The sequence below is a fragment of the Homo sapiens genome, chromosome 12 (genome assembly GCF_000001405.40).
Source record: "Homo sapiens chromosome 12, GRCh38.p14 Primary Assembly".
NCBI classification, from domain to species: domain Eukaryota; kingdom Metazoa; phylum Chordata; class Mammalia; order Primates; family Hominidae; genus Homo; species Homo sapiens.
In genome coordinates this window covers 68,347,016-68,374,846 of record NC_000012.12, presented here as the reverse complement: position 1 = coordinate 68,374,846, position 27,831 = coordinate 68,347,016, and the positions used below count along the sequence as shown (strand labels likewise).

Genomic DNA, 27,831 nt, shown 5'->3' with positions numbered 1-27,831 from the left:
TTCTCCACAGAAGAGAGTTTTTCTGTCCCCAGAGCTGTAGTTTGGGGGATTTCTTAAACCGCTTCCTGGGCAAGAAAACAGAATGCCTACGAAGGGCTGGGCTGAGAAGCTGCTCCAAATGGCTATTTCTGTAGCTGGGTTGCTAGAACATAAATAAGAAGCGTGTTTGTGAACACACGAGATGCCCTTGGATGCTCCCAAATACAAGCATGGGAGAAAAGATTGCAAAGGTCTCCATTTATGTGGTTGGCAGAACACATTACTGAAATGTGTGCTGTTATTTTAGCGTAAGCTCATTTGTACTCACTGGCTGGCCAGATCAGGCGAAGTTTGAGTTACATTTGTAAGTGTACATAGGTACATATGAAATCGATACTGAAAGCCCTGTTCTAGAAACAGTGATACCCAACCCAGCCAACCCAGTCACAAACACCATGGCACGCATAGGTATCTGTTTACAGGTGCCACATTTAGTATGGCTATGAGTCATCAAACCTGTAATTACTTCGCAAAGTTTCCTAAACCACTCTTGTCAGTAAATAGCAGTATGGCATGCGGCTCTACTTCTTCAAATGAGGGAGGGAGTACAGTTAGCTGAATCTTAATTCATAGATGGTCTATCTTATTTCCTAGAATGTGTAACTAGGACTTTGTCATTTTGTTTACTTCTGTATCTGCAGCGCCTAGAACAGTGCCTCCTACACAGTGGGTGCTTAATATTGGTGAATAGATAAATGAATGAATGAACGCTTGGATTTTATGTATGAGTTGGAGGCCATCTCTCTTCTCTCTTCCCACTCAGTTGCTGTTACATCTGCCAACTTCTGCTTTTACTTGAGTCCCTGGCCTATGGAAAATTACACCCTCTCAGTGTAGACTGTGGGCAGAACCTGGGACATTATAGGTCAGCACGTGGGTGTGAGTTCTTGTACAGACACAGAGGCCTCTGGCTTAGCAAGTCCCAAAGGCTCTGAGGGACTTTCAGGCAGAACACTATAAGGCTCATCTTCCTTAAACCATGTTTTTTTTTTCCCATTATGAAAATAACACATGGTCATTAAACAAAGTTTGGAAATGCTAGAAAATATGAAGGTAGAAAAACTACCCACAGTCCGCCGGGCGTGGTGGCTCACACCTGTAATCCCAGCACTTTGGGAGGCCGAGGCGGGCGGATCATGAGGTCAGGAGATCGAGACCATCCTGGCTAGTACGGTGAAACCCCGTCTCTACTACAAAAAAAAAAAATACAAAAAAATTAGCTGGGCGTGGTGGCGGGCGCCTGTAGTCCCAGCTACTCGGGAGGCTGAGGCAGGAGAATGGCGTGAACCTGGGAGGCGGAGCTTGCAGTGAGCGGAGATCTCGCCACTGCACTCCAGCCTGGGCGATAGAGCGAGACTCCGTCTCAAAAAAAAAAAAAAAAAGAAAAAAACAAAAGAAAAACTACCCACAGTCCCTTTACCCAAACACAAATCCACCCTTCTCTTTCTCCTGGATTATCACATAGCTTTAAACCTGCACCATTCTCTCCAGCCTTGCATCCAATCCAGTCACGGTGCCAGGAAGAGATCTTTCTAAAGCACAGATCTGAAAACACTTCAAAGGCTTCCTGTTGCCTTTAGTGTCCAAACTGCTCCACAGGATTGGTTCTGCTTATGTCTTCAGCTTCCTAGCCCCACCCCGACCCCCCATAATATTACGCTTGTGCCAAATGGAATTTCCCTCAATTCTTCAAACAAGCTGCACCTTCTCAGGTTCACTCTGCTTGGAAACCTCGCGACCTTTCTTGGGTCTATTCTTTCTCTCTTTTACTCTGTTTCCTTGTCTGTGTTCATCTGTTTTTTCATACATTTTCTCTTTGATTCAGCATTTAGATAGTATTTCCCCTAAAAAACTTTTCCTGACTGTCCTTCCCCTTTTCTCTACCAAATCTGAGTTTGGAGGTCCTCTTGTGTGCTTCAAAAACCCATACATTTCTCTTGTCATGTAGCTCATCATGCAGTATTTTAGTGCTTCTTTGTGACGGCATCTTTCTAACCTCAGTGCTTAGCCCAGTGCCTGGCTCATGGCACACAGCTCAATAAAGAGTGGTCAAAGAGAATTTAGATTGACCATTATTTATATTTTAAAAATATTTTCTTTATTAAAATTTGTTTTTAATTGACAAAAATGGTATTTTTTATGGTGTGCTAGAAACATCTCCTCTTAATTTTGCTTTAATCACTTTTTTTTTTTTTGAGACAGAGTCTCACTCTGTCGCCCAGGCTGGAGTGCAGTGGCGTGATCCCAGATCACTGCAACCTCTGCCTCCAGGGATAAGCAATTCTCCTGCCTCAGCCTCCCGAGTAGCTGGGATTACAGGCAAGTACCACCACGCCTGGCTAATTTTTGTATTTTTAGTACAGACTGGGTTTCACCATGTTGGCCAGGCTTGTCTCGGAACTCCTGACCTCAGCTGATCCACCCGCCTCAGTCTCCCAAAGTGCTAGAATTACAGGCTGAGCCACCGCTCCCAGTCTACACTGTGTTTTCTATTTTACATAGATATAATAATTATGCAAATATAATGTTATAGATCATATCATGTAAAAATATTAATCTCAATTCTTTTTACTTAACATTGTGTTAAGTATTTTCACTTTTACCCAATCTTCATATACTTTATTTTTAATAACTGCATACTATTCCATCAAGTAGATATATTCTCGCTTACTAATCTTCTATTGTTGGATATTTAGACATTTTAGGTGGTTTAGCTTCTTGCAAATTATGAATAATTTTGCTATAAATATCTGGATATCTTTGGGCATAAAGTTTTTTCATGTTTTGAAGTATTCCCTTACAATACCTAAAGTAAAATTTCAAAGTCAGTCAGCATTTGAAATTCCTAATGCTCGGTGCCTAACTGCCTTCTCAAAGTGTTATCAATTTCTGTTGGCACCAGCAATTTATGAAATGCCCATTTCACTTAACCTCACCAAGGTCACTTCCTTCTCAACCACTAAAATCTCTTGAAGAACCTGGACATCCCAAAGGCAGCAGCACTGAGTACTCAGGCCAACACTTGCCCCTGTTCTCACTCCCTTCCAAGGGCAGTGTTTCAGCTCCAGTTTGTGGAGGGCAAACTTTCCTGGTTCTCACCCCCTCAGGCTGTGCAACCTTGGATAGCATATTTAATCACTCTGAGCATGTTTCCTCCTTTTAGGGGAGTGAGACAACTCTTCAGTTGCTATTTATTCTATTTCAAACTCTTTAAATGGACCTAGGGCAACCTCCACTTGCATTTCCTACCCTTCCATCAATACACACACATGCACACACACACACATGCGTACACAAACACACACACACACGTGCATGCGCCTGCACATACCGCTCTCTGAGGGCTGTCCACCAAGACCATCTTCCCACTCACCTTGTCCTGTCCTTGGCTCTCTGATTTCTTTGCTTCTCCCTGTAGTTCTCAGCCTCTCCCTCCCTCCCCATCTCCCTTTTTCCCTCCCTCCCTCAATTCCTTCCTGCCTTCCTTCCTCCATTCATCCAACAAATTTATCAAGGACCTACTAGTCCAGCCATAAGTGCTGGGAAACATGGAAAAGAAGGCAGCAGTAGTTCCTACGTACATGGACTTTACATACTAGTGGGGATAACAGATTAAAAATAACAACAAACAAACCCATACAATAGAAAGTTACACATTGTGATGGGCATTAGGAAGGAAATAGATGAAGGCTAAGAGAGAGAACCTCGGGAAAGATCTTTTGATAAGGAAGTAATACCCCCCTCCCTCACCCTTGCTTACCCCCTTCACTCCTTGCTGTGCTTTCATCTCCACAGTACTTAACACCAACTGACAGAATATTTTACTCTTTCCTGGTTTATTTGTTTATTTCCAGTCTCCTCCAACTTGAATGTAAGCTCCACGAGGGCAGGGCTTTGCTGTTCACTGCTGTGCCTGGGCACTGCAGGCCTCCATAGCATTAGCTGGGTGACTGAAGGAGTGGAAGGCCCTGGGACATGTGTGCAGAACTGGGGCTGTTTGTGAGGATAGGTGGTGTCAGAGGTGTATAGGCGGAGGGAACGTCATGTGCAGAGGCTCTGAGAAAGGGAAAAGGGGTGGAAAGGAGCCCAGAGGGGCTGAGTCAGGTGAACAAGGGGGCAGCAGCACCAGGAGAGGTTTGCCAGGCTTTGCAGGCCCTGGTCATGGGTTTGGATTTCACTCTTAGGGCAGTAGGAGGCCCATGATAGTTTTGCTTCGATGGGACACTGGGATACGCCTCCGTGCCCTGGCAGAGTATGTCTAAGATATTTGTGAGTGGGAGTGGAGTTGGGAGTGGGGAATCCACATGGTGAGTTCTTGTGCATGGTTTTGTCTTAACCCTATGACCGAATACTCCCTGCTGGGTGTGGGGGACTAGACTCCTTCCAAGCCTGTTGTTTTGGGACCCTATGATTATCAGTCAGCAAACATATGACTACACTCCCCGAGTTATCATGTTTCCTTGTGTTTTGACATCCAGCCTAGTGGCTGACCCAGATGTGAAACCTCGCTGCTGAAACAGGCAGGCTCTGGAGCTGCCATTTTTTAGGATGACAGTAGATCTGAATGACATCTGGTGGTTTATGGGAATATCTTGTCACCGACCATTTCAAGTGCAAACAACTTCCTTCTCACCCACCTGCTTGCTGCCTGCTTCCCTTTCTTTGCCTTCCCTTCCCACTGGGGAATGCCAGCCATTTGATCAGCATTTGTCAGCGCAGTTAAGCCACATCATTGTTTGCCCAGAGGGACCTATTTCCCTTTGCCCAGTCCGGGCCCTTGAGCAAACCTGGGAATTTATGGGATCCACGGAGCTGAGAGGTTTGTGAGTAGCACAGAGTAATATAGAAAAGTGCAAATGGGGAGCTGGACAACTCAGGAGACTGTAACATGAGGCATGTTAGCGATACCATTTCTCTTCTTCCTGGAATGGGGAGGAAGGGTGTCCTTTTTTTTGTTTTGATTGTGAGCAAATGGCCCAGCATAGATCCAGCTGTTATAACTGAATTAAATTTACAACAAACTTAGTGTGGCACATTTTGAATAGAGCATCTAATTATTATTGGGTTGCATGGCAATAAGGAACACCCTATAAACAATTTATTGATACAGTATAGCTTTCATTCAGCCAAAACACACTTTGTTTCTTTCATCTCCCTTTGTCTCTCTGTCATCTATAATTGGCATTCATGGTATTCTCTGACGGTGCTAGATTAATTATCATATGGGCACACAGTACCTGGTAGCAATTATTATTCTGAAGAAGAAATTAGAGTCCACTCATATCATTAACAAGTGGGAGGACCAGCATGGTGTTCCAGTCCTGGGATTCAGACTTCAGCCCATCATTTATTCGGCAGTGGTATGCGCTACGGTGTAATCACTGTCACCCAGCACATCTGAAGGTCTTAGGCTGTCCTTTGCCAAGAGTAGGGGTGGGTGGAGTGGCTGGGGGCAGGGTAAAGACATACTTGGAGCAAAGTTCTCTGGATCCTGAGGTCTGTGGTCTTAAGGCAGATGGGGGCGGAATAAAGTTAAAGGAGGTGGGGCTGGCAGCACGATCCAGGGACTCTACATTTCCTGTACCCCTACTCCACCCCTGCATCAAAGATATGTAGAAAGAGCGGGAGGGGCGTGGTGGCTCACGCCTGTAATCCCAGCACTTTGGGAGGCCGAGGCGGGCTGATCACCTGAGGTTGGGAGTTCGAGACCAGCCTGACCGACATGGAGAAACCCCGTCTCTACTAAAAATACAAAATTAGCCGGACGTGGTGGCTCATGCCTGTAATCCCAGCTACTCGGGAGACTGAGGGAGGAGAATCACTTGAACCTGGGAGGCAGAGGTTGCGGTGAGCCGAGATTGCACCATTGCACTCCAGTCTGGGCAACAACAGCGAAACTCCATCTCAAAAATAAATAAATAAATAAACATTAAAATAGAAAATATGTAGAAAGAGTTTGGATCAGGATTAGTCTTACTGTAATATCAGAAAAATTCACTGGTCAAAGGATGGCTCTCTCACTTGCATATCCACCAAAGAGACAGAGTATTTTATTACAAAAAAGGCATAAAGGTGAGAAAATAATATAAAGGATCCAACCTTTGGGGGTATCTGAAGAGGGGAGGCAGAGAATGCCTTAGGGGGGTGGGGAGCAGGTGGAGCAATCAATGGGAGGGTGAGGTGTATGTGTGAGGGGAAGGAAGTCAAAGCAGGGACTGAAGAGAAGACAAACTTCTCCAATTGCTGATGTTGCCACGTGGTCCTGTATGTTACAGAAAGGAATCTTCCTGACAGTCTTTTCTGTTTGAGAGCACCACACCCATTCCTTTGGGAATATGAGTTTTCTCCACTTATTTCCTGCCCTAGGAGTTTCATGAATTGGCTTGCCAAGGACAGGGGTCAAACTATCTCTGACAGCAATTAATTGCTTAGTGGCTTATGGAGTAAGCGGCTTACTTCAGGCAGATGGGACAGCAGTGGAAATTTGAATTCTGCTTCATGGCGGTCATGTGGATACTTCATTTTTCTTGGGCATTGAACCTGTGTACAACCGCAGAGAAGGGAACAGCAAAGGGTGAAAAGATGCTAAAGCCAATTGAGCAATCTGTTCTTTGCAGGCTTGGGAGTCCTTAAAAAAAGCTACTTCAGAATAGGTCAAATGGAGGGGTGGCAGGCAGTTCATGGTTGCTATGGTGACCAACAAACATGTTTGGCTTCTAGAGGTCCTGCCCCTGAAGAGGATGATGGCTTTTGTTATGAAATTTGTGAATGTCCCTTCATCTGTGTCTTCACTATTTATTTTCAAAGTTGTCAATAGTAACGGACTATGCATCACTTGTGGCCCATCTCTGTCCAGGTTTGGTGCTATCCTTGGCCCCTACATTTACCTCTGCTGGGATGTGAGGTTCTGACCTCTTTCAGAGCCTGCAGAGGTTTATGGGAACCACAGAAAAGCACAGGGGAGTGTGGCCATGAGGAGACCAGGGCTCTGCTGTGTGACTTTAACTGTTGTGGCCCTCAATTCTATTAAAAGGGGGGTAAAAATATCTGCTCTTATTAGGAAAAATGGCTAATGCATGCTGGGCTTAATACCTAGGTAATGGGTTGATAGGTGCAGCCAACCACCATTGTACACATTTACCTATGTAACAAACCTGCACATCCTGCACATGTACCCCAGATCTTAAAGTAAAAATAAAAATTAAAAAAATACCTGCTCTTCCTACCTTCTGAGGTTTTGTGAAGGTATATGAGATTTTAGATGTAAAAGTAACTTGAAAATATTGAGTGCATTATATTCTTTTATAAAGGAGCATAAAAATTTAACTCCACAATCCTGAGATAGAATGCTTATTACAGATGGTAAATATGTAAGTGTCAACCCTAATTGAATGATAGTGGCTGTCTCTGTGTTGAGAAGGATATGAGGCTGCATCCAGGCTCAGCTGGCAATGGTGCCAGTCATTTAGTGATGTCAGTTATGTGTATACGAGGCAGAAGTGGCATCACAAGTGCCATGTATTTGCTGTCTTGGTTTAGGACATTCTTCCTTGCTTCTTGCTGCTGCCTTTGGAGGTTGGGAACTCATTACTGCTCTGTAGCTTGCTTGGTATTGGTTTGTCAGGGCTGATTCATGGAAGCTAAACTCCTACCCTGTCAACCTGAAACCTGTAATTTTGTTTTTTCAAAACAACATTTTGATTTCTTACTGGTAAAAGTGAAATGTGTTTATTGTTAGAAATGTGACAAATAGTAGAGAAGCAGACAGAATAAAATAAGAACAGCCCATAATCTCATCATTCCTGGATAACTTTTAACATTTTGTTTATAGGTTTCATGCCTTCTGATGTAATTTATTTTATAAAAGGATCATTAGTTGCTTTATGGAGAACAGATTGTAGGCGGGCAGTGTGAATTCAGGGAGACTAACGGGGAGGCTCTCATAGAAGTCTGGGGGAGAGATGCTGGTGGCAGAGGAGTGGGCAGTGCTGATGAGGAGAGGGGCTGGATTTGGTGCATATTTTGAACATAGAGACAACAGGACTTGCTACTAATGGGTTGGATGTAAGGTATGAGAGAAGAAGGAAGGCATCAAGCATATGATGCCCTGGTTTCTAGTCCCATCTCTTGTGAAATGATGATCCATTTACTGAGATGGGAAACAATGAGACGGAAGCAGGTGTGTGTGTGTGTGTGAGGGGGAGGAGACAGCAATGGAAATCAAAAGTTCCATTTTGGATATAAGAAGGCCAAGTAAGAATTTCACACCTGAGTGAGGATTTCTAGTCGGGAGCTTAGGGGAAGAGGACAGGCAGGGAGATTTTATCTGGCGGATTATCAGCATAGAGAGGATGTAGGGGAGATGGTCTCAGGAGTGACATGTAGATGGCCAGGAGGTCTGAGGACAGAGGTTGAGCCCTCTAATATGGATTGGTTGGGAAGAGGAGAAGGATGCAATATGGGAGAACAAAGGAGCAGCCAGTGGACTAGGAAGAAAACTAGGAAAGAATGCAGTGATTGGAAACCAAGGGCAGAGGGTAGTTCAAGAGAAAGGAAGTGCTCCTTCTCTCTATGTACACAGAAACACTCACATGCATAGATACATATGCACACACATATTTTTATGTGAGACTATGCCCATTTTTATATAAATGTAGGGCTTTTCATTTATTATGGTGACTTTTTTATCCCCTTAAAAACCTTCCAAAAGATTATTTTGAATGGCTTTAAAGTAGTCTATACTTGTAGCTGTAACCTTAGAAGGAACAACCTTGTATATACATTTTATGTTTCTTTAAATTCTTGAAGTGGAATTACTGTGGATATGAAAACCTTTAAGGCTTTTGATATCTGTTGTCAAATTGCCTTTCAGAGAGGTTGTACCAAGGTTGTACACTCCACCAGCAGTCAACTGAAACCAAGCATTTGGCAAGCATTATTAGCATTAAAATTATATATATATGTGTGTGTGTATATATATATATAAAATTTTTAAATATATGTATAAAGATAATTGCACACACACATAAACACATATATATGGATATATATGTGTCTATATATGCCTGTGTATGTATATGTGTGTGTGCAATGCTATCTAGTTTTCTCCACTTGCATGACTTGGTTACTGGAGGTTGAACAAGTTTCAACATAAGGCTTCTTGTGTGCGGTCTGAGTGGTGAGCAAGTTGATCTGGCACCCACACCCCCTTAAGTATGAAAAAAATGAGTGTAAACATCCCCCAAGTCAGCCATTCAGGGCATGAGGGCTGCGGAGGAGGAGGAAAGCTGGTTCTGAGCTAGTTTCTCGGTGGGGGTGGAGTAGATCTTTGTCAGCAGTGAAGGAGCCGGTGTGGTTCCCACAGCTTGCAGTGCCTCCTCCCTTCCCGGCCAGACTTCCTGTGGGCCCAGCCTGGGAAAGGGCGTGGTCACCAAGAGGCAGAAGCAGCCCTCCTCAGCTGCACCAGCCCCGATGTGTTAGGTGGTGAAGTCTCTGTTGCCCTGTGAACCGCAGCCCACGTTGCCCAATTCAGCAACAAACACGAGCCATGGGGCCCAGGCCGACTGCCCCACATACAGTGTCCTTTCCTGCCTGGGTGGAGCCTTCTCGGTCTGAGAGGCCGGTCCTCTGCAGAGAGACCTTCGGAATCCTCCCTACGGCCTGGCTGGGCCTCTGTCCAGCTGAAGCGGAAAGACCCGGTGTGCTGTGAAACTGCAGCAGGGCAGCATCCGTCTGTTGGTCTGCGGCGTCGCAAAGGGCGATTGCACCACGTTGTTAGGCTGTGGATGTGGAAATCGACAATACTGAGGCGATAGAAATCTTAAAAGAATGTATGGGACATAAAGATAAGCCAAAAATGGGGATTGTGGCAATCTTGTGTGTAACATTTCTCATTTCATAACTGTGCCAGTCGCAATGTAACTCAAAGGAAAAAAGAAAGCACCACAACCCTTTGCTTTCTGGGTAGCACAGACACCTGTAATATTTTCTATGGTCGCCAAGGACGAATTCCTGACAGAGTGCAATTAGCACAGGTTCAGAGGCCTCAAGTCCAAAGGAAAGGATTCTGTGAGAAGTTAAAACTGCAAGATGAAAAATTTTCAGTAGAAATGGCGCTGATATTGAGTTTCTTCAGATGTTTTTCTTTTTGTATTTATAAAATATTTCCATTGTAAAGCATTCAATTAATGAAGAATGGTGTAAAGTAAAAGCTAGTCTTCTCTCAAGTCCCTCAAACCTCACTCCCACTTGCTAACAGTTTGGTACGTGTTTTCCAGTGCTTTTATTATGCAATTATGAACATTTATATGAGTATAGTACATAGCTCATGTATAGTCCGTTTATCAAGCTGCTAGCATGCAGTTAGTGTTCAATAATATATACCCACACATACAATTTAAAAACTGAAAATGAGATTATACTATGCAAATTCTGCAACTTGTTTTAAGTTTTATTTAAATGCAATTTCTCTTTGTCTTTTTGGCAGGTAGTTTAGTTTCATCTTTGCTTTATAAAGACAAAAAATCAAAAACTTTTTCCAGCCAAGGACTACCAGGTAGATGAATTTATTCGACTATTATTTGTTGCATGCCAAAGATGCATCAGGCATTGCTCAAGGAGCTGGGAATGAGTGAAATAACAATCCTCACCCTCATGGAACTGACATTTTGGTAGAGGGAAGCAGGCAATAAACATGTTTAATAAGTGGATTGTCAGATGTTGATAGCAGAGCAGATAGCAGAGCATGTTGGGGATGGTTAGGGAAGGTCTCCCTGAAAAAGTGACACTTGAGCCAAGGTCTAGAGATGGAAAGGGTAATGCCACAGGGATATCTGAGGAAGGGCGTGTCAGGGAAAACAAACAGAATGTACAAGAGCCCTGAGGAGGGAGATAGATGACTTCCTCAGAAACAGTAAACAGGCAATGTGGCTGGGTAATGGTGAGAGAAGGGAGGACAGATGGGGTGGTTGGAAAGGACCGGTGGGGCCTTGCAGGGGATTTGGAGGTCCTGGGCTTTTACTCTGAGGGGGATAGCCTGTTCCTGGGGGCATGGAGCAGAGCAGCCTCATGATGTGATGCATGTTATCACATGAGCACCCCGGCTGCTGTGGAGAGTAGACTCTCTCAGGCAAGGGCAGAGGTAGGGATGCCAACTGGGAGGCCACGGTGGCGATGAAGCAGGGGAGTGACAGTGAACATTGGGATGGGGTGTTGGCAGTACAGGTGGGGACGCTGTTGGATTCTGGGTACACTTACAAGGTAGAGACAACAGGATTTGCTGATGGATCAGATGTGGGATATGAGACAAAGTGCAAAGCCGAAGATGACTATGAGGACCTAGTAACGCATGGAGTGTTCCTAATGAGAACTTTATTCATTAGTCAAGGCAAGAAACAAACAACACGAGAGTATGGATGACAACAGACATCAGAACATGGAGATCTGGAGGGCCATTATAGACCCTCTTTTCCTCTCTTTTTGCCTCCACAATATCATGTGCTATGCCACATGTGTGTCTCCTCCATATCAGCACCTCTCAGTCCTCACCCTGAGAAACCCCTAATGGGAGAGGAGTACAAACTATGAATCCCAGCCGTCTGGGCCAGAGCTCATGGGGCCCATTACAAGCATGGCATTACATTAATACCTTGTACTAACAAAATCCATGTTAATGCTGGATTCTACTCCAAAATATCTATATGTTCATTTTAATATATTCATTACCTATAATTAAGTAAAATTGTTGGTCTTGTATGATGGGCCACTGACATACACCAAGAATCCCTGAGAAGATATAAGGCTTGGAGATGTTTGGCCCATGCCTTTCCTATTGTATGTGCAGGAATACTGCCTCCCAAGAAGAGCCCACTTATTCATGGGTTGGCTGGTCCCTAAAGCACCTCTGCACTTCCAGGACCATGCTGTATACCTGTACTGAGATGAGCAGGTAACCAGATCAGGCACAACACAGAATGGTCGTCTCACCAGCTTGGGCTCTTCCATCTCTACACTGTAGTACAGGCACTTTCTTACAGATGGAAATAGATTTTTCTTCCTTCCTTTTACCTTATAACATTCTACTCATCCTTGGGTTTTTAACCTGTTTAAAAGCTTTTCTCAAATTTCACATCCTGTTCATGATGCCTTATGCTACCATTCAAAGTGATAACTTGTTTCAATTAATCCTTAGAGCACTTATTTTCTACGGGGATCGTGGTATATATTGGGAAGACAAAGCTTGAGTCAGAAGAGCAGGGCCTTGGAATCAGGCTTACTTTAATTTAAACGCAAGCCCTGCCATGATCATCTGTGTGATTTTAGGCAACTTTCTTCACCTCCAAGTCTATAAAATGGAATTCAAAGTGGAACTGGAAGGATGATTAAGTGAAATGGACATGTGAAGCACCTAGCACAGTGCACAGCCATTTGATAAATATTATTGCCTCTTCCCCCTTAACCTCTTAATTTGGTACTTTTAGTATTCTACTTGTATGGTTCCATGTTTTGAATTTTTATGTGTTTTAGTTCTCTAACTAGACAATAAACTCTTAGAGTTTAGAAACCACATTTTATATTTCTTGACATCCCTGAAACATCCATCACAGTACCTTGAATGTGGGAGATGATTTATAAATGTTTGCTGATTGATTTATGGATTTTTTTTTGGCAAGTTTAAACCTGAAGGACATACTACTCTCTGGAGTTGAGAACATAGCAATGAGCCTCAAAGAAGAAAATGAGCCTCAGTGTTCATGGAGGAAGGTCATTGCTTAGCACCTTGGGAAGACATGCAGCTGATGGATGAGGAGGATGCTGGATGGCTATGCTGAGTTGGCTTTAGACTCTGCTCACCAGCTTTGGAAATGGTTACCCAGAAAGATGACAATATCCTGATAACCCCTCCATGACCAAATTCTTTAGCAAAGCATTTCAACAGGCCATCACCGTGGCATGTGGACTGATGGGTTGCACAGCTGTTATTATGTGCTTACAAGGGAAATTAGGAGTAATTAATGGACTGGGATCAATAACAGTATTATATTGTAGTGAATGATTTAATTTTCTAAGTGAAGAGGTAAGCACAGATATTTCACATCATTAAAATAGATGTGAATCAGCATAGCAGGTTTGAAGAAACTACTCCATTTTTTGTTGTATATAAAAGTTTAAATTTTTAACTTCTATTTACTTTTTGAAAAGGTAACGCATGCATAAGGTAACTTGAACAGTTCAAAGTAGTATTAAATAATTGCTCCCCAGAGACAATCACTATTGCTAGTGTATTGAGTGTTCTTCCAGAGGTGCCCTATGTATTTGTGTGTGTGTGTCCCTTAGCTGGAAGTAGTTTCGAGAATCCAAGAACTTCCTGTTGGTCTGCTATATCTGTTTGGTTCATCCGTATATCTCTGGTTGTTACCCCAGAGACCAGACCATACAGCCCAAAATTTATGGTCAATAATTATATATTGATTGAGTAGATCTATTTTAGTCAGTGACTGATTTAATCTGTTTTAGCAGTTTTTAGAAAATGATCGGCATTTGCTTGATACATCTTTATTGTGAATTAACAAGACATATAATTTGACATGTCTAGATAATAGAGCATCTTCATGAATTCTAATGTATTGGTACAATAATTTTAAACCACTGGTACAGAAGCTGCCTCTCTGAATATTCTTCACTGACTGGAGGGAACTCTTTGGAAAATATGTGCCATCTGAGTTTAAATAAGAATGGGTTAAGAAACAAAAAAACAAGATTAAAAATATGTCAGAATACACATGCAAATTGGTGCAGTTATTGAAAGTTGCTAGTTGGGAGGCTACATATTTTAAAAATTGCCTCCTTAGGTTTACAAGCCACATATTACTGTGGCTGCTGCCACTTCTACTATTATTGCTGTTGCCACTACTAACATTATTACTATTTATTTGGCATTTGCCCCTATACAGTACCGTGTATACTTACTTACCACGTATACTTACAGTACCATGTAAGTATTTTGTATGCATTATGTCATTTAATCTCGTAGCAACATTATCAGGTAGGTATTATTATCATTTGCATTTTATAGATGAGAGAACCGAGGCAAATAATGATTTCATAACTTGCTTATGTTCACAGAGCTAATAAAATGGTGGAAGAAGGATTGTGGCCCAGTGTGATACTAGAGCACATACTTCTGAGTCGTGCTTCAGTTTTGACCAAAAATGGAACATTCTTATTGATCATCCTTTCTGTTTGCCAAATTTAGCTCCAAATGACTTTTTCAAAATTTTATATTTTTTATTGAGATGGGGTCCCACTGTATTGCCCAGGCTGGTGTTGAACTTCTGGCTTCAAGCAATCCTTCCACTTCAGCCTCCCAAAGTGCTGGGATTACAGGTGTGAGCCACCGCACCAGGCCAGTGCCTTTTTTTTTTTTTTTTTTTTTTTTTTGTGGAGATAGGGTCTCGCTATGTTGCCAAGGCTGATCTTGAACTCCTGGCTTCGAGCTATCTCCTGCCTTTACTTCCCATAGTGTTGGGATTAAAGGGGTGAGCCACTACACCCAGCCAACTTTTGACTCTTTCAACAAATGAAATCCACTTTCAGAAAGAATGCTGTTGTGTTAGCACTGGGTTTTCAAAAGATATGTGTCAATTTTAAAAGAGGAGCTTCCAAAATGGTTTGCATTATTAAAATGGGTGAATACTTTGAAAGGGATAATAACTCATTTGTGTGTCTATACATGTGTGTTTGCTTAAAAAAATCTGCCCTTGTATTTATTGTCACATCTCATATATTTAATTTATTTAAATATAGGACAATACAGGGAATTTCCTGTTAGAGTTACATAGTTGGAAAATACCAAATTGTCTGTATTTCTTCACATTTCATCACTAGGCATCCAGATAGTCCTAGGCAAATCTATGAATTATGCAAAATGTGTCTTGCCACATCCCTTTCTTTCAGCACTTCCCTTTAATTATTTCTCCATCTACACTCTCCTCTCCTCATTCAAAAATGCCAAGAGCTTGGTGACCCTCTGCAGCCATATGCAGAGTCCTCAAGTTCAAGGCCCTACCCTGTCCTGTCCTTTCTGGGTACTCCTTTCATGTGCTCTAAAATCATTCCTCTTTTTAGCCATTCAACTAAAATTTTATTCTTGTAGAATAACCAATGACATGTAACGTTCCGGAGAAAAGACAGCAGAGAAAAGTAATCCACATTAAGGTGTAAATGACTAACAGCTCTAGCTTAATATAGAGATCCTGACAGTGGCAGTGATATTTAGAAAGAGAAGATTATTAGGTCAAAAGAAGTATATTCTTTCTGGCCTGGGTCCCATTCTTGTCCTTTCTCGACCATAATAGATCCTGTGTGGGGAATTTCTTGTCCTACTTCAGCTCATGCAAATCTTGTATCTGTGGTTGTACATTATTCTTTGATGACATCAGAGACCTACTTCTGCTTTTGGCATATGATAGGGGACACTTGTTTATTTTGGTTGGGAAAGGAGGAGATTGTTATAGGCACTGATAGGGGTATGGGGGCCATGTTTCCCAGGGGGATTCCAGGATGTGTCCATGAGAAACGCATTTAATATATTATTTGGGAAAGGAGTGTTTGTTATTGTTACAGTGGTTTTGCTTGATGATTTTTGTTTTTAACAGTGAGAAACTGAAAATCTTCTATGATCATCTTGTTGCCTCTAGCAGTGCTTTTGACTTATAGAGTGTGTGTGATTCCCTGAGATACCAACTTTTCTGCCAGTTTCAAAGTTTAATAGTATTTGGGGCATGCCACCTAGCGGTGATAGCTTTTGGTTTCTTGCTCATTGGAGGAGAATAAATCAAAACCCTAGTAAATCAGTCTCCTAGACTTGAAAGCCACATGGGAGGCCATCTAGGTCATCTGTTAGCTTTTGCGTAAGCAGGCAAGTAAATCACCCTTTCTGTGGATCTGAGACAGAAAAATCAGGGCATCTAAAGCCCCCTGGGCTCAGAATTCCTCCGGCTCCCAGTTCCCCCAGTGAACTTTGAATGTTTGTGGCCTGCATGGCTGAGACGCGACCCTGTATCTCCGCAGGCATTTTGGCAATCCCAGCAACAAACGCATGGAAGACAAGGCTCCTCTGACTCTGAGCCCTGACTTACCTCGTCCTCACTCTGACCTGTTTTCTCCCTCTCCCTTCCCCCACTCTTGGCTTCTCCTTACCCTCTCCACACTCCCCACTGCTTTTAGTGCCTTCCTTCCATTGTCATGCTTGATGGACCCACCATACAATACTTTTTTTTTTTTTTTTGCCATAGCTCCTTTTAAAATTTCTATTTTAACTTTCTGTCCCTAAATAGAAAAGGATAAATGCTTAGTACAGAAAAGTTTGGTAAAAACCCTTTTTGTGTCTGTGTGTGTGTGTGTATGTGTTGAGTGTTTTTTAAAAAACAAAAATAATATAAAATACTATTCACTTAGTAATAGATCATGAGCATTTTCCCCATGTTAATAATGTTCTACTCTAGGATTTTAGTAACTGCATCACAGGATATACCAGAATTTACTTCATTACTGTTAAATTCTAGGAAAGTGAGAATGATAGGAAATATTTTTAATTCACAGTCACGTTCAGGTCACACTTTATTGAACATTGATTGTGTGTTATGCTCCTGTATAAGCCATTTTTACATTCATAAGTACTTTTAACTTTCATAAGATCTCTGTAAAGGCCGGGAGCAGTGGCTCATGCCTGTAATCCCAGCACTTTGGGAGGCCAAGGCAGGCAGATCACCTGAGGTTGGGAGTTCAAGACCAGCCTGACTAACATGGAAAAACCCCCGTCTCTACTAAAAATACAAAATTAGCCAGGTGTGTTGGTGCATGCCTGTAATCCCAGCTACTTGGGAGGCTGAGGCAGGAGAATCACTTGAACCTGGGAGACAGAGGTTGCAGTGAGCTGAAATTGTGCCATTGCACTGCAGCCTAGGCAACGAGCGAAACTTGTCTCAAAAAAAAATTTTCTATGAGGTAGGCATTGTGATGCCATTTTACAGAAGAAACTTGAGGATCTGAGAAGCAGCTTACCCAAGATCACATGGTTTGGAAGGAGGAAACACAGTAAAATTTTGTTCTCTGGATTTATAGTCCCTCAGCCACTTCCTGAGGTCCCAATAGATACTGAATGTGAACATAGCTTTTCTGAGCATTCTTGCTCTTTGTCTTCAAGATGGGAACAGAGAGAGACCCTTGAAAGGAGATTAGTGTTAAAAGGCTTTAGAGTCAAGTTGGGGATTGCAAAATAGGGTATGAGAAAGTGGAAGGAGAGCTACCTAGATAGGGAAGCCTGCGTTTTCATAGCCTCAGGAATAACTCTTGCTAAATGCTCTATATACATTATCCAATTTTATCCTCACAGCAACCCTGGGAAATACATACAAATATAATTTTACTTTACAGATGGAGAAAACTAAGATCAGAGAAGTAGTTGGTCTAAGGTCACTTTGCTGGCAGGTGTCAGAGGCAGGATTAGAACCCAGCTTGTCCGATTCCAAAACTTCTTCAACTGTAATATGAATTTCCTCTCCAGGTTAATGAGTGTCCTAATCATTCTAAGAATGAGTAGTAATAAGAATTTTATAGTGATATAGTCATAGGCCCCATCCCTGGTTTTGAGGGTGTGTTTGAAGGGGGGTTAATGGAACAGATGAATGAAGTAGGGGGAAGAGGGGGGAAGAAGAGTAAAGTGAAACAAAGCCCAGAAAAAAAATTAAAAAGCCTGAAAGAATGCCAGTTGCAATAAAAGCAACCCATGGGGAAGACAGACAGGTAATCTTTGATGCAAAACATTTGGAAAACAATGCTCAGCTGTTGAAAAGGCTGAAATTTCTGTTTTCTCATGTTTTATAATTAAGAAGAAATCTAAGAACACTTGTTAGAAAGTTTTTTCTCCAGTGGTCCAACGTACATTTCCCAAAAATGGTTAGCTCAAAAAACTCATCATATTACTTAGCATAAGCACCAGTGAAATAGTCTTTATGTCAATTATCCCACAAGTTTATAGTGCAGGGTGAGAGATTAGCAGCAATATACTTTTTCAGGCATTGTGGCCATTTCAATTGTTTCTGATTTTTTGATCTCTAAAATAGGTAATACTCCCTAATTCATAGGTGTTGTGAAAATTAATGAGTAAATACTAAGAGCTTTGGGAGGGATTTAAAAGGGAGATGTTAGTGTATGCTATTATTATATCCTCATTTCTATTCTGAAGTCATAATGCTCTGATAGTGACACTGTCATCATCACCATGGAAACCCATGATATATGTCACTTTTTTCTCTGGGGCCTTTCTCCATCCTCCAGGCAGTTCCAGATGCTGCCACAAAAATGCTTAGCTCCCTTTTCTGGTCATCTTTAAGTTCCCTCACTGGTTTGTAAATGCCTTTACTACTAAGCTTTTCCTTGAATATGTCCCTGTCCCTTCACCTACATCTTTCTTCTCTTTTATTATCCTGTATTCATTCCTGTGATTCTGGACACATAGCTTTCCATTCATTTGTTCTCTTTTACCTTGCTCTTCCTTTCCTCCTGTGTTTGGGATAATCTTTGTTGATTCAACAAGTTGTTCTTTATCCCTATTAATGTCTACATGGAGAAGCCAAGGCAACTTGATGTTATCAACTTTATTACTGAAGTTTCAACATCTATGTAGTGTTTTGCTTCAGTTATTAAGAAGTTGGCTGGACACAGTGGCTCCCACCTATAATCCCAACACTTTGGGAGGCCTAGGCAGGAGGACCACTTGAGGCCAGGAGCTCAAGACCAGCCTGGGCAACATAGCAACACCCTGTCTCACAAATTTTTTTTTTTTTTAAATCAGCTGGGCAAGGTAGTGCATGCCTGTAGTCCTAGCTACTTGAGAGGCTCAAGCAGGAGGGTCACTTGAGCTCATGATTTTGAGGATACAGTGAGCTATGACTGTCACTGCACTCCAGCCTGGGTAACAGAGGAAGACTGTCAAAAAAAAAAAAAAAGAAAGAAAGAAAGAAAAAGAAAAGCAAGCAAGCAAGAAGTCACCATAAGTAGATTGCTCTAATCCCTGAGGATGAGTGAAATCAAATCAATAATACTAGTTACCCATCTATGAGGAATCAGGTGGATATTATGCCAGGTTGTTTCTAGTAGTTAACAGTTTGTAAATGAATTCAATCAGATTTTTAAAACTCTGATATTCTTCATTCTTTTGAGAGATATTTGGCACATAAAGACAAGATATCTTTATTACAACACTTAATCGGAAGAAATGAAGCATATTAATTCTCTAATGAATATTTTTAATAAGTTTTCCATGTTACCAGTAGTGTAGTGTTCAGTTATCAAAAGAACATAATGAGATCTCACGCTGTGTAACAGAAAGTAGTACTATCTTGCCTAGAAGAGAACATTCAGACATTTGTTTATAGCTGTCAGTGGTCATTTCTGCAGTGTTGAATTGTCTCTCCCTTTTCCTCCCCTACTTTTGAGTCACTTAAAATGAAAAATGGGAAAAAAAGCATGCTCTAATTTAATGGTTTCCCCATCCTTCAAATGCTCTCCTTTTAAACATTTTCTCTGACATTAGTTTCTCTTTCCTAGCAGGAGGCTGAGTGTTTAAGCTCCTGACATATTCCCGCCGAGTGGCTGTGAGTGTGAGAAGCACTGCAGTACAGTAGGAGTGACTAGTTAAGCCTCTTGGACAGGGAGAAAGAACTGGGAGTGTGGCTGTGAAGTGGGTACCCTGGGTACAAGTATCCCTGTCTTTAGAATCTGTGTACCTAGTGTGGCTCTAACTCCAGTTAAGGGCCCAGTTAAAGTGGGCCTGGATGTCTCATGAAGTCCTGGATGGCCCCCAGTTCAGAGGACCCAGTACTGAAGGTGCCACCTTTACTTAGCTCCTGATCTGGGCTGGATGTGAAGGCCTCTGAGCTGACTTCTGACTCTGGCTCACCTCCCGATGCTTATATGCCCCTCCCTGCCCTTGCCAAATGATCTCCCTCTCCCTGCAGGTTCTCACACCAAATACAAACCTGAAGATGAAATAAGTCATTGCTGTGCACTGCTGAACCCCAGCCTATGCAGGTGACAGATGACTGATGCCAGCCCAGCTAAAGCCTCACTTCATTCTTGTGATTTTGTGGGCACAAAAGAACTTGAATGAGTTGAACCTAAAGTTAAAACTAAACCAGAAGACAGTAAGCCATTTGCTCAGCAGCCTCTATAGCAATCGCTCTTATAGAATAAGGGACAGGGGAATGACAGTGGCCCCCATGGCTCCCAGTGGCTCGTGCTTCTTCGGCATTTCCTACATTTCCCTTCCATCTTCCTCACTGGAATGACACTTGCAACCCTCCAAGCCAGGGCACTATATTAAGTGCTGTACATACAGTACTTCACTGCATACATACAGTAATACTATTATTATTGTGTTATTATTATTATTGCGTTTTTGCAGATGATGAAACAGAGGTCCTATAAGCATTTCGTAGCTCTGGTGCTGAGCTCAGGACTTAATGTATATCAAGGGCTCCATAGTGTTTATTAAACTGGAATTTGACTGGTTCTAAGGAGTTAGTCTTATCGTGATAAAAACTCTGGACTTGGGGATGAGGCAAGTGCTTTTTTTTTTTTTGAGGCAAAGTCTTGCTCTGTTGCCCAGACTCGAGTGCAGTGGCATGATCTCGGCTCACTTCAACTTCCGCCTCCCAGGTTCAAGCAATTCTCCTGTCTCAGCCTCCCGAGTAGCTGGGACTACAGGTGCATGCCACCACACCTGGCTAATTTTTGTATTTTTTTTTTTTGAGATGGAGTCTTGCTCTGTCACCCAGGCTGGAGTGCAGTGGCACAGTCTTGGCTCACTGCAACCTCCACCTTCCGGGTTCAAGCAATTCTTCTGCTTCAGCCTCCTGAGCAGCTGGGACTACAGGCATGTGCCACCATGCCTGGCTAACTTTTGTATTTTTATTAGAGACGGAGTTTCACCATACTGGCCAGGCTGGTCTCAAACTCTCGACCTCAGGTGATCCACCTGCCTTAGCCTCCCAAAGTGCTGGGATTACAGGTGTGAACCAGCGCGCCCGGCCGGCAAGTGTCTTCTTTAAGAATATGGAGATATTGACTTATCATCATTAGTCTCTAGGATTTCTGTGGGGGCTACTTTTCTGTCTTTGATTCCACAACCAGGTCAGTCTTCCTGGTTGACTATATAGCTGCTTGACTATAAAGCGGTTGAAAAAATTCCCTGTGATTACTTGATTATGCTCAGATTTGTTAGATTCTATTTCAGTAGAATATGTTGATATGAATTTGCCAACATGTTGATAGGTATAACTTGTAAAGAGGGCTGTCTGGTTCAATATTGGCTTAAAGCAGGGAAGAGGGTTTCTTTACTGCAGGGCTTCCTTGCACCTTTAATATGTTAATATGCATTGGTGATCTCTTAAAGGGGGAATAAATATTTCATCAATTCTAAGTAGCACTTCCCTCTGTACTTTATTATCTCTGAGGTAGGATGCTTCTTACAGTCAGTGGTATCTTATAGCAGTTGTTGGTCAGGCAGCAGTTTTGCCATGGTTGTCATTGCCTGGGTACATGCGATGTTGGCCATAGCTATTTTTGTTGTCACATCAGCTGAGTTAGGTATATTCCTAGCACAGCATAGAATGATGTTTCATTGCTCTTTAAAGTATCTTCATAAAGATCACACCATGAATTGGTATTGACATGAAAAGTTACTGTATATGTCAAAAGGTATGGAAACAGAGCAGTCGGGTATATACAAGATCTTAGAGCAGCAGAAGCTCATCATTGTAGGTTAACTACATGTCTTAGTCTATTTGAGCTGCTATAGCAAAATGCCACAAACCGAGTAGCTTACAAGCAACAGAAATTTATTTCTCGAAGTTCTGGAGGCTAGAACATCCAGGGTGAAGGCTCTGGCAGATTCAGAGTCTGGTAAGGGGATACACTTTCTGGTTCATGGATGGTGCTTTCTCACCATGTCTTCTCATGGTGGAAGCGTCAATGAGATTCTCTCAGGCCTTTTTGCTGTTGTTGTTAAAGTGAAAACAAGTTTATTAGGAAAGTAAAGAAACAAAAGAATGGCTATTCTATAGGCAGAGTAGCCACATGGGCTGCTTATAGTTATTTCTCGATTATATGCTAAACAAAGGGTGGGTTATCACGAGTTTCCTAGGAAAAGGGTAGGCAATTCCCTGAACTGAGGGTTCCTGTTCCTCCCCTTTTTAGGCCATACAGGTTAACTTCCTGACATTGCCATGGCATTTGTAAACTGTCATGGCACTGGCGGAGTGTCTTTCAGCTTGCTAATGCATTATAATTAGCATATAATGAGCAGTGAGGATGACTAGAGGTCACTTCCATCCCCATCTTGGTTTCAGTGGGTTTTGGCCAGCTTCTTTTCCTCAACCTGTTTAATCAGCAGGGTCTTTGTGACCTGTATCTTGTGCCAAACTCCTATCTCATCCTGTGACTAAGAATGTCTAATCTCCTGGGAATGGAGCCAAGTCGGTCTCATCCTTATTTTACCCAGCTCCTATTCAAGATGGAGTTGCTCTGGTTCAAATGCCTCTGACATGTTTTCCCCTCCCTTTTTACAAGGGGACCCTTAATCCTAACGGTTACAGAGGGATGAAGAGTCACCCTCTGTAACTTCTTCAGGCTGAATAGGGGCTGAATATTCCTGTCTCAGGCATTTTTTAATGTGCACTAATCCCACTCATAAAGGCTCTGTCCTCAGGACCTAATCACTTCCCAAAGGCCCCACCTCCTGTTACCATCACCTTGGGGGTTAGGATTTCAATGTATGAATTTTAGGAGGACAAACATCTAGCCCACAGCACTACAGTTCCTTATCTTCTTGCAAAGCAATAACCAAATGCTTGATAGAACTTAAGAAAGGAAGATACCCAGTAGCTAGGGCTATATTTGTTACCGAGGTAGGCGCACAAGGAGTGGCTACCACTCACCAAGGGAGCAACACAACTGAAACCAGGAAAATCGCCAAATCCCTGGGGAAAGCATTGTGTCCTAATTTAATTGGCATTGCTTTTTCTTTCCTAGTGGTATGTAATCAATAACTTTGTAGATTTGATGACATATGTTAGTGTGAAGCGTTTTCAATCTTATTTGACCACAGGCTCTTGTTTCCCTAGAAACATCTCTTGGAACTACTGTTCTGTAGAATTGAATAATGATAATATTTAATACTTACAATTAGCCAGTCAGTATTTACATTTTTCACCTATATTAACTAAATTAATTCTCACTACCATCTCATGAAATAGGCACTATTGGCCGGGCGCAGTGGCTCAAGCCTGTAATCCCAGCACTTTGGGGGACTGAGGTGGGTGGATCACCTGAGGTCGGGAGTTCGAGACCAGCCTGACCAACATGGAGAAACCCCGTCTCTACTAAAAATACAAAAAAAAATTAGCCAGGCATGGTGGCGCATGCCTGTAATCTCAGCTACTCGGGAGGCTGAGGCAGGAGAATTGCTTGAACCTGGGAGGCAGAGGTTGTGGTGAGCCGAGATCGTGCCGTTGCACTCCAGCCTGGGCAACAAGACGGAGTGAAACTCCATCTCAAAAGACAAAAACAGAAACAAATACAAACAAAAAGAAATAGGCACTATTATTTTCCCCATGTTGCAGATGAGGAAACTGAGGCACATGGACATTAAGTAACTTGCCTAAACTCACACAGCTAGTGTAGTAGAGCAAGGATTCAAACCCAGGCAGATTGTGTGTTCTTTAGCAGTAGGGCCCATAGTTTGGAAAACGCTATTCTAGCCACAGACTAGGGAGGAGAATGCTGCAAATCCGACTCATAGCTAAAAAATGAATAAGTGGCACAACCACCACTGCTTCTTAAAATAGCAGGAATCTACAGGGAAATATAAAGATTTCTTTGCTCTTTGTTTATATTGTGAATGTGTTGTTACCTTTTGTATATGCCTTGTTCACTCCCTCCAGGTTGTGAACATTAAGAAAGAAAGTCACTGTCAGTGCGACACTGAAGTAGTACAAGTTTAACCTGAAGAAAATACCAGAATAAGCCGGATAAATATCAGCGCCAATGTAGGCCAGATCTGAATGCCCTGAAATGATCCATTACCTTACAGGTTGCTGCTGCAGTGAAAGGGAAGCTGTTGCTTTTTTTTTCCCCCACAAAGTTGGCGGGGGGGGGGGGCACTTATAGAAACTAAACCACTTTGTGCCACTCTTCCCATCTTTCAAATTGCTACTCTTTGTGAGATAAATTTCAATGAACCAGATGGACTTGCTGAGAGAGGTACCAATCTTCTATTAGCTCAGTCCCTAGGGAAGAGGCAGGTGACAGAAGGAGTTAGGCAGAAAAATAAACCAGAGAACAAAAGATGGTGTCATTGCTTGGAGCCGTGGTGATGTTCAGGTGCCAGGGGCTCAAGTTTCCCAGGCAGCTGAGCTAGGAGGATGATTTTGCTTACTCCATCTTAAGAGGTTTCAAACTCTGCAACATGGTTTCTCCACATGCGGGTTGCTTCTGAAGATTTGTTTGGTCTCCCTGAGATATGTCTGGCCCTGTACAAGCTGCTAGTGAAAACAACACTAGTACCTAATGGTAATTTAAGGAAATTATACTGTTCCGGAGACAAAATGCTGTTCAGTTGCTATGTATCTGTGCCAACTGGGTAAGAAAGGAAGATGATTCACAGCCCTGTCCAGTGGGACCGGTGAAATGCTTCATTACACCTTGGTTCCAGGCTGCTTTTTGGGGCAAATGCTTTGGCATTTGTGGATTCCAGAAGGATTGTAATGATTAGACATAGACCAAGGTTTAACTTGAATATTAACTTTATTTTTTTATTTAAATTTTAAAACCTGCACCAAGCTGAATTGGGTATTAACTTTTAGGAGAGAGAACACACAGGTGTTAGACCAGTTGTATAGGATCTTTCATGTTCTTCACCCAAGGTGGATAAAAGATATGGATTTAACCTTAATACATGAATTGTAGCCCCAAATGAATCAGATGGAGATGGCTATCTTCATGGCAGCTTGCTAAATGGCAGCTATTGAAATAAAAACAAAAGCAAAATGACTATTCCAGGGCTGAGAGACAGTTAACAAATGGAAAGTTCCAGTGTGCTGAAATAAGTCATCTTTGTATACAATAGCCACTCCACACATATATTATGGTACAAGCCAAGTGGTAATACAATTCTGACAAGGTTCATTACACTCAGTTTATAAATTAAGCTTCTGGGCTTAAGCCTCAGAGACACTCTTTATTCTGGGAAGCTGCAAACTATGAGGCACTTGATAAGAAACTGCTAGAAAGAATCCAGCTGTTAGCCATTATCATGTTTCTTTTGAGCATGCTGTACATGGTATGCATAGGTACAGAGAGAGCATCCAAGGAGATTAAAAACCATGGTTACATTAACGCACACCTATCTCAGGGGAACTGCACTGACTTTCCTCTCACAATGTAGGGATGCTTCCTGCAGTTTCTCTGCTTAATCTGGCAGGCTGCATTTGGAATCTGTAGTGCCTTGAGTCACTTTCAGCGGGGTTGGAGGATAGAAGCCACTAAAGCAGAATAGATGCTGGGGCAAGACAGCTAATAATCCACTTAAATGTCAGTCAGGGTTGTGTGCGACAGCTGAAACATCCTCTCACGCAAATATTTTGCTGGATGTAGAATGACATGTAGGTAACTACCTTTTCAGAGTCCTGTTAATTATCTTTGATACAATTAAAATCTGAAGTCTTTCACCCATATGGAAATCATCTGAGCTTAGGAAAAAAATATGTTTGAATACCAGTGAGGTGGTATAAAACATTCATTATATAACAAGGTTTCTTAATTCCTTTTCATTTTAAAGATGCCTACTACTGTAGGCAAGCATAACCATTTTAATAAATTTTTAGTCAGATTTGCAAAATCTCCATGTGGCAATCAGAGCAGAAGAGCTGGCCTCTCACCGGGAAGAGTTTTCTGAGGTAACAGGCCACTGGTTTTCTCTTCTCAAACTAAAAGCCAAGAGGTACAACTTCCTAATTAGGTCAGAGGAAAATGACTGATTAGTCCAATTCTACGACTTGCCACCTCAGTCTGGAGATGGGCTGTAGTCTTTCCTTCACACAAGGGAGGTGATGAGTGTTGGGGCAAGAGCCCAGCATTTGGGGCTGTCGCCTTGAGCATTAGGGTGTTGGCCGCTCAGCCAGACATCAAGGGATCATCCAGCCCCTTCGCACTCCCTTCTGAGGATGGACAGGACCTGGAGCTCAGGTAGGTGAAGGCTAGCTGCTGTTTTGGGGGATAATTGGCTGATTTCAAACAGATGCAAGCTAATATAGCTCTACATTATTTGTGAACAGCCAGAACTGTTCCTTTGTAACAAGGCAAAGAAAGTGCGGCTTTCAGAGCACAGCACATAGCACTTGTCCCTTTTCGGGATAGGGCAGTTAGTTGGGTAGTTGCCAATTTACAGGGATACTTATTTCATAACAGACTGATGGTTGGGCCCGAGTGAGCTCTCAAAGCAGTCCTATTGACCTCACCTAAAAATGGGGACAGGGGGACCAGCTCTTTTTAGGTTTCTTCTGTGATTCATTTAGAATCAGATAAATAAAAAATGACAAACTGCATCTTAAAAAAACGTGACTCCTGGCTGGGCGTGGTGGCTCACCCCTGTAATCCCAGCACTTGGGGAGGTTGAGGTGGGCAGATGGCTTGAGGCCAGGAGTTCAAGACCAGTTTGGCCAATATAGTGAAACTCCATCTCTACTAAAAACACAAAATTAGCTGGGCATGGTGGTGGGCACCTGTAATCCCAGCTACTTGGGCATCTGAGGCATGAGAATCATGGACCCAGGAGGCAGAGGCTGCAGTGAGCTGAGATCGTGCCACTGCACTCCAGCCTGGGCAGCACAGTGAGACTATCTCAAAAAGATTTCAAAAAAAAAGTGACTCCTACTTATTCCTTCCCTTCACAACTCAGAAGTACAGAAATTTTGTATTACTGAAGTGAGGGTGAGGTTTTGGATTTCTCTTCCTTGGGTCTTCAGTGTATTTTTTACAGTATAATCTTCTTAGATTGTATTTTTGCATTCCTTCACATATCTCCATATGTGAAGATTACTCTGAGTCAGTGATCAATCATGGGCAAGTTACTTAGCCTCTCTGTGCCTCAGTTTTCTCAGTTGTAAAATGAGGATAATAATATTTCTACTATTTCTAATATAGAATTATTGTAAGGATTAAACAAATGAATATATGTAAAGCTCCTTGGCATATAGTATAGTGTGTATTATTAGTAGTATTTTTATATTTTATCAATTTATGAGTCTTTTCTATGGATTCATGGCTTTTCCAGGTGTGCAGTAGGGAAGGGTGGGGCAGGGACACTGAACTTTAGAAAACGGATTTTATAATCTAATACACACAAAAAATGACTTACATTTTGAAACTACATGGAATAATATGCCACAATGTGTCATCGGGGTCAAATGTTGGTTTCAGGTGCTACAGTAATAGGAAGAATGAGGTCAAGTAATAGGAAGAATGTGCATCTCAGGGAGGAAGCTGAGATTGAGCCGGGCTAAATAACAAGTAGATTGAGATTGGTAGAGAAGAGTGAGGAGGGAAATTTAGGCGAGAACAAAATGCAAGAAGCAGAGACCAGAAACAATGTGACGTGGTCTTGGTGCAGTAGGGAGACAGGGCAGGCAAAGTGGAAGGAAATAAGGTTGTACAGAGTGGAGCCATATTGCG

The 27,831-nt window shown here is 42.3% G+C and overlaps 6 annotated features.

The window, feature by feature from the left end:
* Positions 558-687: an enhancer, noted in NCBI's record as "active region_6636". NCBI's record gives its function as "activates an Ori minimal core promoter by ATAC-STARR-seq in GM12878 lymphoblastoid cells {active_cell/tissue: GM12878}" and the evidence as "EXISTENCE:reporter gene assay evidence [ECO:0000049][PMID:35858748]".
* Positions 9,101-9,622: an enhancer, noted in NCBI's record as "H3K27ac-H3K4me1 hESC enhancer chr12:68759005-68759526 (GRCh37/hg19 assembly coordinates)". NCBI's record gives its function as "activates a minimal SCP1, AML or CMV promoter by ChIP-STARR-seq in primed H9 embryonic stem cells {active_cell/tissue: H9 hESC(primed)}" and the evidence as "EXISTENCE:reporter gene assay evidence [ECO:0000049][PMID:30033119]".
* Positions 9,550-9,809: an enhancer, noted in NCBI's record as "active region_6635". NCBI's record gives its function as "activates an Ori minimal core promoter by ATAC-STARR-seq in GM12878 lymphoblastoid cells {active_cell/tissue: GM12878}" and the evidence as "EXISTENCE:reporter gene assay evidence [ECO:0000049][PMID:35858748]".
* Positions 9,550-10,145: a biological region, named in NCBI's record as "H3K27ac-H3K4me1 hESC enhancer GRCh37_chr12:68758482-68759004".
* Positions 9,623-10,145: an enhancer, noted in NCBI's record as "H3K27ac-H3K4me1 hESC enhancer chr12:68758482-68759004 (GRCh37/hg19 assembly coordinates)". NCBI's record gives its function as "activates a minimal SCP1, AML or CMV promoter by ChIP-STARR-seq in primed H9 embryonic stem cells {active_cell/tissue: H9 hESC(primed)}" and the evidence as "EXISTENCE:reporter gene assay evidence [ECO:0000049][PMID:30033119]".
* Positions 16,072-16,583: an enhancer, noted in NCBI's record as "NANOG-H3K27ac hESC enhancer chr12:68752044-68752555 (GRCh37/hg19 assembly coordinates)". NCBI's record gives its function as "activates a minimal SCP1, AML or CMV promoter by ChIP-STARR-seq in naive H9 embryonic stem cells {active_cell/tissue: H9 hESC(naive)}" and the evidence as "EXISTENCE:reporter gene assay evidence [ECO:0000049][PMID:30033119]".